The sequence below is a fragment of the Homo sapiens genome, chromosome 1, assembly GCF_000001405.40.
Source record: "Homo sapiens chromosome 1, GRCh38.p14 Primary Assembly".
NCBI classification, from domain to species: domain Eukaryota; kingdom Metazoa; phylum Chordata; class Mammalia; order Primates; family Hominidae; genus Homo; species Homo sapiens.
In genome coordinates this window covers 244,848,883-244,867,027 of record NC_000001.11, presented here as the reverse complement: position 1 = coordinate 244,867,027, position 18,145 = coordinate 244,848,883, and the positions used below count along the sequence as shown (strand labels likewise).

The 18,145-nt window shown below is 39.9% G+C and overlaps 2 protein-coding genes and 1 non-coding gene across 4 annotated transcripts in view, besides 5 other annotated features; all 3 read left to right on the top strand.

Annotated features, from left to right (window-relative positions):
• LOC124904588 (UPF0764 protein C16orf89-like) overlaps positions 1-2,546 on the top strand; it is a gene marked incomplete at its 5' end in the record, with an annotated part of 43,053 nt that extends 40,507 nt beyond the window's left edge. Inside the window, 2 exons of the mRNA XM_047439568.1 lie at positions 2,297-2,365; positions 2,442-2,546. Coding sequence (XP_047295524.1) covers positions 2,297-2,365; positions 2,442-2,546 — 174 coding nt within the window. The remainder of the gene's footprint in view (positions 1-2,296; positions 2,366-2,441) is intronic.
• Positions 1,449-2,279: an enhancer, noted in NCBI's record as "H3K27ac hESC enhancer chr1:245028051-245028881 (GRCh37/hg19 assembly coordinates)". NCBI's record gives its function as "activates a minimal SCP1, AML or CMV promoter by ChIP-STARR-seq in naive H9 embryonic stem cells {active_cell/tissue: H9 hESC(naive)}" and the evidence as "EXISTENCE:reporter gene assay evidence [ECO:0000049][PMID:30033119]".
• Positions 2,056-2,115: an enhancer, noted in NCBI's record as "active region_2847". NCBI's record gives its function as "activates an Ori minimal core promoter by ATAC-STARR-seq in GM12878 lymphoblastoid cells {active_cell/tissue: GM12878}" and the evidence as "EXISTENCE:reporter gene assay evidence [ECO:0000049][PMID:35858748]".
• Positions 2,280-3,111: an enhancer, noted in NCBI's record as "NANOG-H3K27ac-H3K4me1 hESC enhancer chr1:245027219-245028050 (GRCh37/hg19 assembly coordinates)". NCBI's record gives its function as "activates a minimal SCP1, AML or CMV promoter by ChIP-STARR-seq in naive H9 embryonic stem cells {active_cell/tissue: H9 hESC(naive)}" and the evidence as "EXISTENCE:reporter gene assay evidence [ECO:0000049][PMID:30033119]".
• Positions 2,336-2,435: a silencer, noted in NCBI's record as "silent region_2021". NCBI's record gives its function as "represses an Ori minimal core promoter by ATAC-STARR-seq in GM12878 lymphoblastoid cells {active_cell/tissue: GM12878}" and the evidence as "EXISTENCE:reporter gene assay evidence [ECO:0000049][PMID:35858748]".
• On the top strand, positions 2,485-16,731 carry HNRNPU (heterogeneous nuclear ribonucleoprotein U). Of its 2 annotated transcripts, none has more exons than NM_031844.3 (14): positions 2,485-3,411; positions 4,298-4,409; positions 4,494-4,567; positions 6,554-6,693; positions 7,654-7,753; positions 8,187-8,299; positions 8,754-9,017; positions 9,311-9,430; positions 10,172-10,300; positions 10,403-10,571; positions 10,870-11,124; positions 11,420-11,604; positions 11,984-12,055; positions 12,525-16,731. In NM_031844.3, the coding sequence occupies exons 1-14, from the start codon at positions 2,721-2,723 to the stop codon at positions 12,576-12,578; spliced, it is 2,478 nt and encodes an 825-aa protein (NP_114032.2). In that variant the 5' UTR covers positions 2,485-2,720; the 3' UTR covers positions 12,579-16,731. The 2 variants fall into 2 exon arrangements, with proteins under 2 accessions (NP_114032.2, NP_004492.2); NM_004501.3 differs by having other exon boundaries at positions 2,503-3,354; positions 12,525-16,728.
• Positions 3,416-4,095: a silencer, noted in NCBI's record as "silent region_2020". NCBI's record gives its function as "represses an Ori minimal core promoter by ATAC-STARR-seq in GM12878 lymphoblastoid cells {active_cell/tissue: GM12878}" and the evidence as "EXISTENCE:reporter gene assay evidence [ECO:0000049][PMID:35858748]".
• Positions 12,811-12,941, top strand: SNORA100 (small nucleolar RNA, H/ACA box 100). The gene has a single exon (NR_132782.1). It is a non-coding gene; the product is annotated as a small nucleolar RNA, H/ACA box 100 (small nucleolar RNA).

Sequence of the window (18,145 nt, the reverse complement as noted above, 5' to 3'; positions counted from 1 at the left end):
AGTATTGAAAAAATATTTGCTGAATAAATTGTGTGACAAAGTATAGCATTTCCTTTGCTTAAACCTCAAAAATGTAAGCTAGACATGCAGAGCACCAAAACTTTGTAGTTACCTCTCACAGATCAATTATTCATAGGTCATTCTTGAATCATTTTTTGTTATTGAGAATTAACTTGTCTCCTCCGGCACGCGGTATTCTTGGTAGCCTCTAGGATTTGACACAGGGGGAATTTAAATTGTCTTAGAGGTCCTTCAGAGATTTACAGGAAGTGACCTGCACTTTAACAGGTCTCTGTAGAGCAGGACTATCATGATAGCATTAAAAATATAAGAAGCAAAAATGATCAATAAGATGTCACCATTTGTACTTTGAAGTGGTAACATAAGACTATGGAATGGCATATTTCCTCTGTTTGTGAAAAGGATAGTATGATGATGGTTCTTTGAGCAGAAATTGTTTTTCTTTCAAATGTTGTCTAAGACAGCACAATGTAATAGAAAGCCCATTGGTGTGGGGGGTGAGGGTCCCAGCTTCCTGGGCAGTAAAATGAACAGGACTGCAGATCGATCTCCAGGCCCCATCCAGCTCTAAAGTTCTCCAAAACTTTTGGAGATAAAGCCATAGAACTTTCTTGTGAGCATCAAAAGTTGTATTTCATGTTTATTTTTGCAACTGACTTAATGTTCCAAGAGTGACTGTTACAGATCTACTATATGTAGATATACAATCTTTGTTTTCATAGTTTAGTGTTTTCCAGTAAATGAAATTTGTTTTCATATAACTAATATTTAAAGGTGTAAATAATATCTAGGACACATAAATTTAAGGAACCATCATAATTGTATTTAACTCTGATTCATTAAGGGATTAGTTATCTAGTTTGTGAACATGTAAACCCCCTGTAGCTCTCTTCCCATTTCTGAACGAAGACAAAATTTCAAATTCCAGTTTGTGGCTTATTCATAACCTTCAAAATTATAACCAAAGGCTAAAATGAGTTTCTGGCACTGTTTGGAAGTTTCTATTTTGGGGGCTATCCTCACCACTTAACTTGAACTGGGGATTATCAGTAGTACTGTACATAGTCCATTAATTTCAAGTCAAATCATTTCACAAGTGTTAATATTTCACGTATACATGACTGCAAGGTATGGTAGAATGCTTCATAAAAGCTACCGAAAATAAACTTCAAAAATAAAATGTATCAATTAGTTAAATCATATTAGCCTATGGGAGAAATTTCAATGTGTTTACTTCCAAATTTCAAATTAATAATGGGGCAATATTATTGTGCCACCTAGAGCACCAAACAGTGGGTATAAACCATCTCCTTAGTCAGATGGAACACTGGCTGGACACTGCAGATTATCTAGGGTTTAAAATGTTAACTTCTATCACGAATCTAAATTCTGACTTCCCTATCTAAAACTTCGAGACATCACATCTTTTCTTTAAAGAGAAAAAGTAAACTTCTAACATATAAAATAACGGATTTCAAGAGCGATAGTCCATTTTTCTTTTTACAAAATCACAGCCCTTGATTTTTCGTAAACTTTAAGTTTCAGAATAATTTGGTCAAGAGTATTTCTACAGGAATAGGAAGAGAATCAAGTGGGCCTATAATCAAAGACCTAGTTGGGTCTCACCCTCACGGTTAGCTACTGGGACTTCGTAGCTGATGACCAGGTCCTAAAGTGGACAGAACAAGTGTTACTGGAGGTCCGTCTTTGTGGTAGCTACAGAAAACTTGGAAATGCAATTCTGAGGTTTATTCAGGGTTATTAAGAGCATGAGAATAGCTGCCCTGCAAAGGCAGGTACACTAAGGTTTGCAGTATGGAGTAGTAAGCAAAGCCTCTACTTCCCAGGCCCCGCACCCGGGGTGTGGAACAGACAAAAGAACGGTTCTGCCCTTGCCCTTCTCGAACTTAAAATCCAATTCGCAAGGCAGGACTTACACAAATTAAACCAAATACGGTATTATGAGGAAAAGAGCCGCTGCGTGTAACAGTTGCCAATGTATGCTATACCAGTCAAAACTGAAATACGATTTGAAGGAGTTTTAAACGAAGAGCTGGAGAAACACATAAGAAGGCAGATCTAAGATGGAAGAAAAGGCGGATTCGGGTTGAAACGCCAAGTTGAGGACTGAAGAAAGCATTTGGATAAAGCAGCCTCCAAGCTGGGAAGGAGAAAAGCCAAACGAGTATAGCCACCAAAGACCCAGAAAGGCCAATATATCATGCAGTGAGTCGGTTGAACTGAAAGGCGGTTTCCTTTTCCTCCATTTGCTCAGTCCCAATTGGAAGCGCACTGCGCGGCCTCCACCGCGCTCTCGGCCCGGGTTCGGCGTGGGGGCGGGGAGGTAAGTACGGTAATGGGCGGGGCCGAGCGCGGGCGCGCTCCGGCTTTCCTCCTGCGCAGTGCTCCCGTCAGCGCAGGGGGCGGGGCGCCTATATTACGTGCGCGGCGCCGCTCCTGCGAGAGGACGTTGCGTGCTCGCTCGCGCCAGGCGAGTCTCCGCGTCTCCCTCGCGAACTCGGTGAAAGGAATTGGCGCCGTTCGACACCAGGCGGATCCGCTCTGCAGCACGAACCCATCTCCAGCCGCAGCCGCAGCCGCCGCCCGGGCCGAGGAGCAGCCGCAGCAGCCGCCACCAGTGGCCGAGTGAGCGGAGCCGAGTTTGAGGCAGCGCCTAGCGGTGAATCGGGGCCCTCACCATGAGTTCCTCGCCTGTTAATGTAAAAAAGCTGAAGGTGTCGGAGCTGAAAGAGGAGCTCAAGAAGCGACGCCTTTCTGACAAGGGTCTCAAGGCCGAGCTCATGGAGCGACTCCAGGCTGCGCTGGACGACGAGGAGGCCGGGGGCCGCCCCGCCATGGAGCCCGGGAACGGCAGCCTAGACCTGGGCGGGGATTCCGCTGGGCGCTCGGGAGCAGGCCTCGAGCAGGAGGCCGCGGCCGGCGGCGATGAAGAGGAGGAGGAAGAGGAAGAGGAGGAGGAAGGAATCTCCGCTCTGGACGGCGACCAGATGGAGCTAGGAGAGGAGAACGGGGCCGCGGGGGCGGCCGACTCGGGCCCGATGGAGGAGGAGGAGGCCGCCTCGGAAGACGAGAACGGCGACGATCAGGGTTTCCAGGAAGGGGAAGATGAGCTCGGGGACGAAGAGGAAGGCGCGGGCGACGAGAACGGGCACGGGGAGCAGCAGCCTCAACCGCCGGCGACGCAGCAGCAACAGCCCCAACAGCAGCGCGGGGCCGCCAAGGAGGCCGCGGGGAAGAGCAGCGGCCCCACCTCGCTGTTCGCGGTGACGGTGGCGCCGCCCGGGGCGAGGCAGGGCCAGCAGCAGGCGGGAGGTAAGAAGAAGGCGGAAGGCGGCGGAGGCGGCGGTCGCCCCGGGGCTCCGGCGGCGGGTGAGTGCTGCGTTGTACGTTGCGCGCGGCGGGAGGCCCGCGCGGGGTGGGGACCGTGCCCCAGGCCTGCCGGAGCCCCGCAGGGGGAGGGAGCCCCGGGCGGGAGGGCGCCGCGGTGAGGGTGGGGGAGGGGGCGCGGGGAATCCCAGATTAGCCGAGAGGCCTCGGGCTCGGGGCGTGTGTGTGCGCGCGCGCGTGTGTGTGTGTGTGTGTGTGTGTGTCGGCGGTGGCAGCGCCTCCATTATGTGGCTCGAGAGCCGGGGGGAGCTGCAGCTGCCGCTGTAGGGGGAGGAGCCGCGGGCGGGCGGCGGGAGGGAGCCCGGTCGGCCCGCGGTGGCGCCGTCGCGCTGCGTGCGCGCGGTGCGGGCACATGTCTCGGGGGGAGGGGAGAGGCCCCAGGTCCCGGGGCGGGCGCGCTTTGGCGGCTCCTCGCCGCTGTATTGTGCAAGGAGCGCAGGGGCTCGGCGTGACGTCACTTCCGGCGGGAGGAGCCGGGCGGGGCGGGGCGGGGGGCGGAAGATCAGTACAATGCGGCCGCGGGGAGCGCGGGCCCGCGGGGGAGGGGAGCGCCGCCGCGCCGGGCTCGGCCCCTCCCCCTCTCTGCGCTCTCTTCGGGATACACGTGGGCTTCGGGCCTGGGCCGCGCAGTTTTTCTTTGGCTTTCTCGAATCATCGAGGAGACTGGCAAAATTAGTAATGTCTTTAGACTGCGTCACTAGCGCCAATCGAATTCGTAGTTGATTGTTCTTTGAATTCACATTTGAGTCCTCGGTTAAAACCTCAGTTAAAAAGCAGGATAAAGTCGAGCTGCTTTGGTTCTCGGAACGGAAAAGCGTTTTTTTGTTGTTTAGAGGCTTGGCCTTTATGGGGCTCGTGTGTGTTTTAGGGGACGGCAAAACAGAACAGAAAGGCGGAGATAAAAAGAGGGGTGTTAAAAGACCACGAGAAGATCATGGCCGTGGATATTTTGAGTACATTGAAGAGAACAAGTATAGCAGGTATAGGATGCTCACCTAGTTTTACTCATCCCTTATTCGTTCGTTGATCGGAAAGCTGTATCAGGAGACAATTCTGTCTTTCAGAGCCAAATCTCCTCAGCCACCTGTTGAAGAAGAAGATGAACACTTCGATGACACAGTGGTTTGTCTTGATACTTGTAAGTGAAGCTGTTTCTCCCCAATTATGAAATGCGGTGATGGTGGTTTTTTTTTTTTTTTTTTTAGAAGTCTTAATGCTTAAGTGCAGCAAAACTTGGGTTAGTTTTTTTAAAAGCAGGAAGATAATGGTTTACATTCAGAACCTAGTAGTTTAATATTTAGCACGTCATCAGTTGTATTAAGTGGATTATTTTACAGGCTCTAGGAGTTTCGTATTTTTATGACTTGAAAGTTCTCATTCTTAGGAAATGTAAAATTAATGCCAGTTTTTGACTAGCTAACGGAAACTTGTAACACTACCTATAATTTAGCCTTACAGGCTTCTACAATAAAGTAATTCATTTTTTTGTGGAATTATATTAAGTGAGCTATTTGGGCTAGTTAAATATTTACTAATGACTTCTCCCATTAGCACACAAGTATATTCCCTATTTTAAAAGATTGTAATATTACTTTTTCAATAACTGCTCTTTTGTTCTCAATTCCAGTTCAGTAGCTGCTGCTTTAAACATAAGTTGATTTCTTCCAAAGACCTGAGGCAGCAGCAGTGGGCTATCACTGGGCCACTAGCTTTCTTCAGCAGCGAATGGTATCAATGGCAGTGCAGCACTGTAAATACTGCTACTTTACCCAGTTGGGTTGCAATTGAGTGAGAAAGTATTGCAAACCTCTAAGTGGGCTTTGACTGTCAGACTTGTTTTTTTTTTTTTTTTTTTTGTTACAAAAAAACGTAGTTGGTTTAGTGATGAGAATGTACAACTCTGGGTGTGATAAATAGACCAAAGGATAAAAATAACTGTTTCAAAAGTATCAGCTATGGTGTCAGCCTGCTGTGTTAGATGGAAGGCATTGGAGCTTAGCTTCTCATGTTTTCTTGTACAAATTGGCTTTATTCAGATTTGTAAGAGTGTCAATGTAAAACTCTTTCTTACTGGAATATCCTTTACAGAAGGTTGAGATAGTCATCTGAGCCTTTTTAAAAGAAAAAACTGCAGGTGAAAAAGGAGTTAGTTGATGTGAAAGTTTTAGTGAAATTCTGGGTTGTATAAATAAGTTGCTAGGAATTGGCAAGGTAGTGAAGTGGTGACTCACACAGGTAATGTAATTGTTAGATTTTTTAGCAAATCAGGAATATGTCAATATAAGTACAATGTTGAATTCAAACAATCTGTTGAATTAAATTCTGTTGATTAGAATAACTCTAATTTAAGAAAAATTCCAAACTGTAGATTTATTTTTCTCTGATCAGTAAAAAGAAAATGAGTTCCAGCTTGACTTTAGCTGTTCAAGTGAGAAGTCTGAGGAAGTGCATGTTAATGAGCCAGTGACCCATAGGTAGCTGGGTTAAAGACACTTTGGATTTGGATAATCCGGGAAGCAATTAATCCCTAATTGTTGAACAGGCAGTCCTGGGTAAAGAGGACCTAAAATGCTGCACTATTAACAGCATTAGACGGCCAGGTTTGTACTTCATAGTTTTAGGCTGTCTTCTTCACAAGTTTTAGAAAAAGAATTTAGGAGCTAGAGCCCTGGTGCAGGATCAACAGCAGCTCATACTCCTATTTTAAAATAATTTGGTCGTGGCCTCCCTTCAGTTTTAATGTGGCACTGGTAAATCTACCTGGTTCTGGCATGCTTCACTTTGATTTCCTGCTATCCTCTACTGCTTGCCTCTAAATCAAGGTAAAGAGCAGAGCAGGTATGTATTAATGTCACATTGTCTTGATTATTTTAAATACTTAAAATATACATGTTAAACCTTGGTATTAGTTTCACAGGCAGTTTACTTTTCAGTACATAATTTAACAGGAGTGACTTGGTGGGAGTGGGGCTTTAAACTGAAAATTGGAACAACAGCATGATGTGGAGAAAAGTTGTGCAGCATTAAGAAGTACATGCAAAAATTAAGTAACCAAGTTTTGTCTACATAGCAGATATGTTTACATTGGATGTCAAAAGTAACACAGTATTTGATATAATTACAGATAATTGTGATCTACATTTTAAAATATCAAGAGATCGTCTCAGTGCTTCTTCCCTTACAATGGAGAGTTTTGCTTTTCTTTGGGCTGGAGGAAGAGCATCCTATGGTGTGTCAAAAGGCAAAGTGTGTTTTGAGATGAAGGTAAATGCAATTTTATGATTTGTTTGTTTGTTTGTGGAGACAGTCTCACTCTGTTCCCTAGGCTGGATTGCCGTGGTGCGACCTAGGCTCACTGCAACCTCCGCGTCCTGGGTTCAAGCGATTCTCCTTGCTTCAGTCTCTCAAGTAGCTCGGACTAGAGGCACACACTACCACACCTGGCTAATTTTTGTATTTTTAATAGAGATGGGGTTTCACCACGTAGGCCAGGCTGGTCGCCAACTCTTGACCTCAGGTGATCCACTGTCTCGGCGTCCCAAAGTGCTGGGATTACAGGCATGAGCCACTGTGCCCAGCCTTTTTTTTTCCTTTTTAAAATAGTGACAAGGTCTCACCATGTTGCCCAGGCTGGTCTTGAACTCCTAAGCTCAAGTGATCTGCCCGCCTGAGCCTCTCAGAATGCTGGAATTACAGGTGCTTCATACTGCTAAGTTATCAAAGGTACTTATTTTTGAAGCTTCCTGTAAATTAAAAGAGGAGCTTGGAACCTTCATTTTGTTGTGACAGTTAATCACGGTTGTTATGTTAGAACTTGCCATGCAGAGCTAGGCGATTTTTTATTTAGGGTACTTCATTTTTATCAAGCATTTGAAAGGGCCACCAAAGAGTTAAAAATAAAATTTGGTTACATTACTGCTTTTGTTGGTGAGAAAAACATTAATTGTATCCTTTAATTGGCTTTAAGTTAAAGACTGACAACATGAACTTTAAAAATATTAAGTATTCTTTTAAATATGGGTCAAATAAGTATTTAACTCTTTAAATTTCAAGTTATAAGCACATCAGTTTAAAGTTCTTACAAATATTGGGGGTGGGCTAGAGTGTGCCTTCTTTGTATTTATAGCTAGAGGAAGATTAGCCCGTGGCGCAATGAAATATGCGAGAGTTAAGGGGTTACCTCCTTGGTGTATTATTTTAATTATTTAATGATTTGACTTTCAGGTTACAGAGAAGATCCCAGTAAGGCATTTATATACAAAAGATATTGACATACATGAAGTTCGTATTGGCTGGTCACTAACTACAAGTGGAATGTTACTTGGTAAAGCTTCTTTTTGACTGATGTGGGCTCATGAATGTTCAGGAGGGTCTGATTTCAGTGTTTTTTAACTAGAGGGCATTCTAAGCCTTTTGTCTGTTTTTATCTATTCTGTTAATACTTCAGACAGGTAATATTAGCACATAGTAGGCACAGGCTACATTTTAGTTTTTGTTCCTTTATTAGAAGTTTATGACCAATGGTTGAAATAAAATCTTACCCGTGATATGCAAATCGTCAACTAATTTGGTCTCTGCGTATATATCCCTCCTAACTTCCATCAATTCTGGTACAGAGATAGAAAAGTAATAGTGTCAGTGACAGGTGATTAGGTTATATGCTTATTTCTCTTGTAGCCTACATCTTAAGTAGTAAAATAGATGAGTCTTTGGACTATTTTAAACATCTACTTCATGAAGATTAATTATTTTCTTAGGTGAAGAAGAATTTTCTTATGGGTATTCTCTAAAAGGAATAAAAACATGCAACTGTGAGACTGAAGATTATGGAGAAAAGTTTGATGAAAATGATGTGATTACATGTTTTGCTGTAAGTTAAAGCTAACTTTCTATGTATAAATGGCAAAGTTAGTAGCTATATCTAGGAACTTTAAAGAAGCTTTACTGAGGTCAGTTTTCAATATGAGCAACAAAATACACCAGTCCCTGGATTAGTGTAAAGACTTCATTCAGCAGTTGAATTGGGAAAACACAGGACATTTTTGAGGAACTCACTAATTCATTTTGACTGAAAACAGTGAACATGAAATTGACCTAGAAAATTCAGTCTAGCTTCTAGGTCAGTATTGTTTCTGGTTCTGGAGATACGTGCTTCATGGTTTACAACCATCAGATTTCTTAACTGTGTAGCCCTTAAAGGCCACCTAATAGTTCTTTAACCTGTAGCTTCCACAGGATAAGCTTTGCTCCTAATTTTAATTCTTAGTTTTTTAGAAAGTTTAAGGAAGCAGATTTTAACTGTTGAATTTTTTTCTGTGTAACAGAACTTTGAAAGTGATGAAGTAGAACTCTCGTATGCTAAGAATGGACAAGATCTTGGCGTTGCCTTCAAAATCAGTAAGGAAGTTCTTGCTGGACGGCCACTGTTCCCGCATGTTCTCTGCCACAACTGTGCAGTTGAATTTAATTTTGGTCAGAAGGAAAAGCCATATTTTCCAATACCTGAAGAGTATACTTTCATCCAGAACGTCCCCTTAGAGGATCGAGTTAGAGGACCAAAGGGGCCTGAAGAGAAGAAAGATTGTGAAGTAAGGGATTTTTTTTTTTTTAACTGTGGCATTTGAATATTGCTTGCCTGGCACAAAATGACATTTAGAAGAACTAGATGATTAGTCTGTTTCATTTACTTTGTGCTGTGCATATTGCTCTTAAGTAATTGTTTCCCCCTTATGTTGACTGTTAATCTTTCCATAAACAAATTTTTGTCCGTTAGTGTAAGGGCTATGAAAACTTAGATATTTAAATTGGCCTTAACAATATTTAAAGAATTATTAGGTGGTGTCTACTGACAGTGAAATGACATTTCTTTTCTTTTCACTAGGTTGTGATGATGATTGGCTTGCCAGGAGCTGGAAAAACTACCTGGGTTACTAAACATGCAGCAGAAAATCCAGGGAAATATAACATTCTTGGCACAAATACTATTATGGATAAGATGATGGTAAGTAAAATGTTTAGGGCCTGATCTCAGTGTTTAAAATAGACTGGGAGAGGCTGGGCATGGTGGTTCACGCCTGTAATCTCAGCATTTTGAGAGGCTGAGGTGGATGGATCACCTGAGGTCAGGAGTTTGAGACCCACCTGGCCAACATGGCGAAGCCCCGTTCCTACTAAAAATTTAAAAATTAGCTGGGTGTGGTAGTGGGTTCCTGTAATCCCAGCTGCTCGGGAGGTTGAGGCAGGGACAATTACTTGAACCTGGGAGGCAGAGGTTGCAGTGAGTTGAGATCGTGCCATTGTACTCCAGTCTGGGCGACAGAGCAACACTCCGTCTCAGAAAAAAAAAAAAAAGAAAAGAAAAATTATAGACCGGGAGGTATTCTAGGTAAACTTTTTGTCTTTGTCTCTATCCATTTTGTTAGTATCTTAAAGAGATGGGAGGAAAGGCAAGATTAAGTTGGTTCTTTCAACTCTGAGGGTAAACTGCCTTCCACTGGCTAGGCTTCTGTTTTTTTCCGTAGTGTTTTTGAGCTCTTAACATCTAGCAGCTAAAAAGAATTGAGTAAGTGTAAGGTCTTGTTACATAGTTTAAGTGACCCTGTTTTTGTAGCAATAATGGACAAAGGTAATATTTAAATTATAAAATGTTGCCTGCTTTACATATAGATATGAGTTGAATTTTAAAAAGCATAACTTATTAAAATTCACAAGTTCAAGGGGAAATTTTAACTTTTGAATATAGGTGGCAGGTTTTAAGAAGCAAATGGCAGATACTGGAAAACTGAACACACTGTTGCAGAGAGCCCCCCAGTGTCTTGGGAAATTTATTGAGATTGCTGCCCGAAAGAAGCGAAATTTTATTCTGGATCAGGTACGCTGTAGCTTTGAAATTGAAAAATATTAACTGATAATTTAGATAGATTGGTGTAGAATTAATGTTTAGGGTTGTAAACATAAATTTCTTTTTTTAAAGACAAATGTGTCTGCTGCTGCCCAGAGGAGAAAAATGTGCCTGTTTGCAGGCTTCCAGCGAAAAGCTGTTGTAGTTTGCCCAAAAGATGAAGACTATAAGCAAAGAACACAGAAGAAAGCAGAAGTAGAGGGGAAAGACCTACCAGAACATGCGGTCCTCAAAATGAAAGGCATGGAATTTTAATTCTGTTACTGTGTGAAATCTTCTTTTTAAAAGAATGTTTTTCCTACATATTCTGCTTGTGTAACTATGTTAAATCTATTAGGACTTAGGCCTCCTGAAAGTTAACATTTTTTCCAGCAATACTGCTTCAGGAATTAAAATTGCAGTTGTTACATATGCATATATGTTTGGTCTGTTTTTATTTTTAGGAAAATATGTTACTAAACCTCAAGAATTGTCAGCTTTAGGATTGTGAGGATTCGTGGTGGGTTTCTAAATTAATAATATGACTTTGTTTCCTGCAGGAAACTTTACCCTCCCAGAGGTAGCTGAGTGCTTTGATGAAATAACCTATGTTGAACTTCAGAAGGAAGAAGCCCAAAAACTCTTGGAGCAATATAAGGAAGAAAGCAAAAAGGCTCTTCCACCAGAAAAGAAACAGAACACTGGCTCAAAGAAAAGCAATAAAAATAAGAGTGGCAAGAACCAGTTTAACAGAGGTGGTGGCCATAGAGGACGTGGAGGATTCAATATGCGTGGTGGAAATTTCAGAGGAGGAGGCAAGTTAATTTTGAGTGTTCTGTATTTAGTTCAGGATCGAAACAAGTGATAATTTTATAGTTTGGATGTAGCTGAAGTTTCTTCCTCATTAATGGTATACTGTCACAGTAACTAAAGTATTCATGTGATTTGATATTAAATACACCTAGGTTATGTTAATGGTTAGAATTAAACATTTCTTTTGTCTTTAAACAATTATTTTTGGAGAAAAAGGAACAATCTAGAGGAATCCTAAGTCTTCTGTATAAGTAGGGTACAATATACAATGAAACTAAAACAGCTCTTGTCTTTTAGCCCCTGGGAATCGTGGCGGATATAATAGGAGGGGCAACATGCCACAGAGAGGTGGTGGCGGTGGAGGAAGTGGTGGAATCGGCTATCCATACCCTCGTGCCCCTGTTTTTCCTGGCCGTGGTAGTTACTCAAACAGAGGGAACTACAACAGAGGTGGAATGCCCAACAGAGGGAACTACAACCAGGTAATGATTCAAGATCCCTGGAAGCATGATTGATAACTGTAGCTTAGTCTGGAAAGGTGTGAGCTTTATGTTGGGGTGTCTTAGTAATCCGTAAGGAACATGATAGGCATTGACATAAGGAAAATTGAACTAGTAATGGTGAAATGAGTCTACTTACTTTTGAGTTTTTTCAGGTGTACTAAACAAGTCAGATGCATTTCTCATAATGAATAAAAAATTAAAACATAAGAAACCAGCAGAGGGTATCCAGAATTTGTGTATTGCTTGCTACCTAAGATTAGGGGCTAGCAACCTGTCCATTTCTGCTCCTCTCTCTCACCCCCACAAACCTAACAAGCAATTGGGCTCAGAGCTCTTAGAGAGTATTTCCTTTTTGTAGAACTTCAGAGGACGAGGAAACAATCGTGGCTACAAAAATCAATCTCAGGGCTACAACCAGTGGCAGCAGGGTGTAAGTAATTTCTTATGTGCTTTATGTACATTAATTGTATTTTGAGTTCCTAAGATTTATCAGTCTTGAAAAAGATCTTGTTCAGGGATTGAAGTGTTTATAAGTGTTAATAGGGTAAAGTGTGAATCGTCTTGCAGTAGTAGCCATAATCTACCTTTTGAAGGCAAAATAGGTTGAAGATTGCTATAAGTTAAATTTTTTTAATAAAGTAATATTATTTAATATATACAGTTCTTTTACTGCTAGCTTTAATTGTGTAAACTAACAAAGTCATGATGTTTCGTTTTGTAATGTGTATTGATAATTATGGGATATTAAAACTAAATCTGGTTTGGTAGAAATCAGAGGTATGACAGGTATAAATTTGTTTCCAGCAAATTACTCTGAATTAGATTCATTGTCATTTCCTAAAAACAGTTTGAGTGGCTTATTGATGTTTTTTCTTTAAAAACAAAATTTTCTCTTACAGCAATTCTGGGGTCAGAAGCCATGGAGTCAGCATTATCACCAAGGATATTATTGAATACCCAAATAAAACGAACTGATACATATTTCTCCAAAACCTTCACAAGAAGTCGACTGTTTTCTTTAGTAGGCTAACTTTTTAAACATTCCACAAGAGGAAGTGCCTGCGGGTTCCTTTTTTAGAAGCTTTGTGGGTTGATTTTTTTTCTTTTCTTTTTTGTACATTTTTAATTGCAGTTTAAAAGTGAATCGTAAGAGAACCTCAGCATTGTGCACGATAAGAGAATGTGTCAGTATTTCAGGGTTCTACATTTTATCTGTAAAATGTGACTTTTTTTTTTTTTTATCACAACAGAAGTAAAATGTTGCTTTGTACCTGGTGTCTTTTATTAAGAATTTACTCCCCCCATTTCTCACAGAGAATAACAGTCGGGAGTCATTGTCACAATATAATAGAAATGTTAGCAACCAGATTCATGTAAGGACTAAGTGGTCCTCATGAATTGCATTAAGACTCTGTACTGCTCATATTACACTCCATCCTCTCTGTAGTTTGCTGGGTAGTGGAGGGGGTAAGCTAAATCATAGTTTCTGACAATAACTGGGAAGGTTTTTTCTTAAAATAACAATGGAATTGGTATAATTGGGATTGAAAACTAAAACTTGGAACTAAGATAGAGAAGATGGAGTGTATGTAGAAGGGCTGTTAAAAATGTAAAACTTGGTTGCATTATTTGTGGAGGCTCAAACTTGTGAAGGTTAATACCATAATTTTTCCATTTGTTCTGCATTTTGATTCTGAAAAGAAAGCTGGCTTTGCCCATTTCTTATTAAAAAAACTTGTTGTAAATCCAGTTGTCTAATGGGATCTATATGAAGTTAGCCATGTCTGTATGCCCTTCTCCCACAAAATACTGTATAACTAGTGTGCTTGTAGTAGTTAACTCCACCATCTTTGTAAGCTAATGAAATTGTGAGTCACCCATTTATATCTTAATTTTTAATCATGTCAGTTCTTGAATGGGTATCTCCTTAGCCTGCTGATTTCTTTTTCTTTCTAAAGAAAGTGGGTGGAGAAATTAATTTAGACGTTTGTTTGCAATAAAAAGAATTCATTTTACTCTTGTTTTGGGATTCTCGCCATCAAGGTTCAAAATCCCTTTATATAACTCCCAAGAGGAGAAATTTATTAAGTGTGTGCTTTCTGGACAGCTTATTCTTTACTCTGCATAGAACATTTAGGTTTTAAAAACTTAAATGTATACTGACAATTGATACATAATTATGAAGTAAAGTTGAATTCTTCCCTTCCCCTCCCCCCCAGACAACTTTTAACATATTTAATGAGGGGAAAAGGTACTGGCTGGGAGAAGTTAACACTGAGTTTATCATCTTTACAGAATGCTAATGCTGTCCTCAACTGATTATTTTATATACATATATATGATACATGAAACTCTGGGATCAGATGCTTTTAGAAGCCATCATGCAAGCCAGTCATTGATGTCACTGCTACACAACACTGCTAACTTGACTGTAGCTATGTAATAACATTAGATCCCCTAATTGTAATTATATTGGGTTTGCACAGAACACTTTAATCTTCCCCTCACCAATGTGAAGTGAGGAATCAGGAGTCAAACTGTAGAACTAAAATTTGACTTCAGTCTAGCGTTTCCTTGGTGTTTTTAGGTTGCTTTGGTAAGTTTAGGTTTGCTATATTTCTGATTGCTTAGAATTTTGTTTTAGCCCTTTAAAATCAGATCATAAATATGAATTCATACTTCTAAGGAATTTTCTTGCTATAAGCTGGAGTTTAGGTGATGTATAGGTTCAGTTGAGACATTTTTGGAACAGGCAAATCCTTAGTTAACATAAGATATTTAACAGTTGAAGATAGTGTCATGGATTTTTATCTTTTTTAGCAAGTAATGCTAAGAACCACTGGCCTGAGCTACTACTCTTCAGTATACATTATTAGGATTGCATAGACTTACTAGAGGAACAGTTTCAGGTTTTGATGCTAATCAGTGTTGTGTCCTAAAGTTGTCCTTTGTGCCTTTAAAAAGTTTTGGATATATCTTCTAGTTTAAAATTGCTTATTAAGGAATTCATTTTATAATTGCAGTGGGAAAGTAATGGTCAAGTAACACTAGGTAGACTATCATGCCTGTTTAGCCCAGAGAATTTGGGGGGAGAGAGAATAGATAAAAATGGCACCCAGAAAAATGTTAAAATCTTTAGTCAAGACTAGAATTAATACAATTGTCTACACTTGTATGGCAGAAATAACCTTATAAAGTGTTTAAGGAATTCAGAGAAGGGAATGTACCAAATAAGCAACAGGGAGAAAATTAGGTAAGAAGTAAGATACGAACGAGAAACCTGATTTATTGCTCATCCTTCCCTTGCCTCCCTAATGGCAAGCAAAACTCTGAACATCTGAAAAGGATGTAGTTCTGGACAAATCCTGACTACCCAGAGGAAACTCACTGTGAGATTGCTGTTGATTTGAAGGGTGCTTTCACTAAGGTTATATTTTAAAGTAGAATAACACATGCTGAGTGTAAACTGGCTTTGGATTGGTCAGCTGCAGTAGTACAAAAACAGCATAGAATTTGAGAAAACTAAAACTGCTATGAGATAGCTATGAGAAAACTAAAACTGCTATGAGATAGAAATGATGTAAAATTATGTGGAAAGTTTTCCCTCATATACTCACATACAGCCTTTGAAGGGCTCTGGCTCTGACCGGTTGATGGCCTTGAGCGAGATGAAATCATGAAATTGAGTCAAATCAATTTGACATTGAAATGACAAGAGGAAACTCTTAAATACATAAAAACAAGCTCTCATTTGCCTAGGATAGATACTGTCTTAAAAATAAAGACTGAACCTAGATGTTCTGAGCACTAGCAACAAGGTATTTTAACAAGTTTAAAGGAATTCTCTGAAAAAGTTATAAAATTATTCTAGGAAACATAACCATAATAGTGTTTTAAGGGACTTTCACCTGGGGATTTTATATTCATGAACAGAGTGTATTCTGTATTTAAAATGTCTCATTTGTGGGAATTGGATGACATGTTTTTTGATAAATTTATTCACAATATAAATTGACTTTTTATTCTAGGACCATGTGAATAATGGGTTCCATTGCACAAATACAAATATTTTAATAGCTTCTTAGGCAGTGGTGTAGACATCTTGGATATAAATAATTGTAGATCTTGTATATTTGATTTTTAAAAAACTAGAATAAACAGAGAGGCATAAACATATCTTAGAGTCCAAGTGGTAGTGTTTAGCATTGGATATAATAAATGGATGTTTTACAAAGTGTTTCCATAATTCTCTTCCTATACATAAATGTCTTGTTTTCAAAAGTGGATGGAACTTGGCTGGGTGTGGTGGCTCACGCCTGTAATCCTAGCACTTTGGGAGGCCAAGGCGGGAGGATCACTTGAGCTCAGGAGTTTGAGACCATCCTGGGCAACATAGTGAGACCTGGTCTCTTGAAAAAAAAAAAGTGGATGGAACTTGTAGCAGAGAATTTTATCTACTTCTCAACCTGCTTCAGAATACCCATTTGAGATGTTCCCCTGGAAAGATGAACACAATACTGCATCTGAAGCCATTTCTTCCCACCTAACATTCTTAAAATGATTAGAGTCTAAACTTTGTCATTCATTCCTAATTCTGGAGCTCTGAGGTTGAGGTGTTCAGAGTTTGGTGAATAATTGGGTTTAAGTTTTAACATTTTAGTAATAATAAAAGCAAACACATACATGTTAAGGCCTGACAATAGGTTGCAATACCCATGCATTGGGACTCATACCCAGCATAAATGGTGAGGGACTGAACATTAGTGCTTTGAGCAAGAATTGGTTAACTACCTGAGATCTCTAAAACAGTAATTTGAATTACTAATACATAAACCACAAGTCTCTTCGAATTGTTAATTGCCTAAATTTACCCTAAAACTTAGTTAACGCTGCAGTGCCTTTATTAAAGCTTTTTTTTGGGGGGGGGTGTGGGCACAGCTACTCCATAACTTTAAATTTTAAAGCATGAAGGTGATCTAGCTAGTGTTAGTGCTTGAGTTGGTAGTTACATAGGCTGCTCTTGAATCGTCCTGTTTTCTTTGCCTAGTATTAGCACCACAGGTACATATTTGTAAAATAAGCATTAAAAGTACTTTGTCCAGCTAACTCATGTTGGAGTGACCTTTGTCTTACTAACCTTTGTTACTAAACTTGTTAATTAGAATAAGCCCTTGAGAATTTGGAAGTGAGCTATACTACTAATGTAGTATATATCTCTTGAGTGTGTTGGAGTAGATGAAAAACCAGGGGTCCCCAAGGGTATATTTTTGAAATTGAACAGAAACAATTCATCTTAATATTTAGTTTTCATTATGTTTAGCTTAATATGTGTGCTAGTTTATTTGGCGTCACACTTATGTCAATCTCAAGTCATGCAGAAATAGCACAGTCTCAGAAAAGAGGTTAGGTGGGAAATAGATGATATGCTTACATTATTGAGCAGGACTATGCTTTCACATCCTAACCAATTGACTAAAAATATAAATGATTGAAGTAATTTTCATTAGTTGCCCCAGGAGTCTTTAATAATAGTTTTAAGGGATAGTAGATTGGACATAGATAGATGGGTTATTCATAATGGATATTCATAATGGATATTCATAATGTTAACCTAGAATTATTCAGAAAATATAACACCTATGTAGTAGAATCTATTGATTGTAAGCCTAGTGTTGGTAGGCAAACATGTTGATGATGGGCCAGGACATCAGTAATCACTACTTGGTTAGGCAAGTAATTAGGACAGGGATTGTAATCATGTCAATTTGTAGCTACCTAATTTTTATTGATTAGGATACTTTATTTTTCATGCCAGGATTCAGCATATACTTAGGTCTTGAGCAGGGGCTTTGCTTTTAAAGCTGAATCCTGGGCATAAGAAGCTATGTACTGTAGTTGAAAGTGAAGTAAATGTCAATGTAGGCTAGTCTCTAGAGAAATGTCTTCTATAAAGATTCAGGGTTTTTTTGCACCATTATGATCACCATACTGTGCCAATGACATAGTTACTCATGAGCATGTCCAGTCTGTCTACATTAATGAAGGATAATGCAGAGATCACAGGCTGGAGAGTTACATCTGACAGAGAAGTGCTGCACTATTGGGGCATATTCTTTCCTGCTATTCCTTTAACAGTTCCATTCTGAACCTTACAGGAAGTAAAATAAGTTATGTCTGGTAAAATATACGTTGCAAACACTTAAAGCATTGCCACAAATTGGTGACAGCCAAGACATTTTTAAAAATTTTAAAACACCAAGAATAGACGTGGCTAGTACAGACACCAGTTTATAAGTGTGACATTAATGCTATAAAAGTTAAAGCATATATAGAGATACCTAAAGAGTTATTGGGGCTTATTTAAATGTCAACTAACAAAGGAATTTTTTGAGGCAGCTTGTATCCTGTATCAGTTGTTTGTAGTTAAAGATTGGGAGAGTCATGGTCACGTACAAGAAAAAAAGATTCCAACATAACTTTTTTTTTTTTTCTTGAAAAGTAAAGCAAACAAATGTGTTGA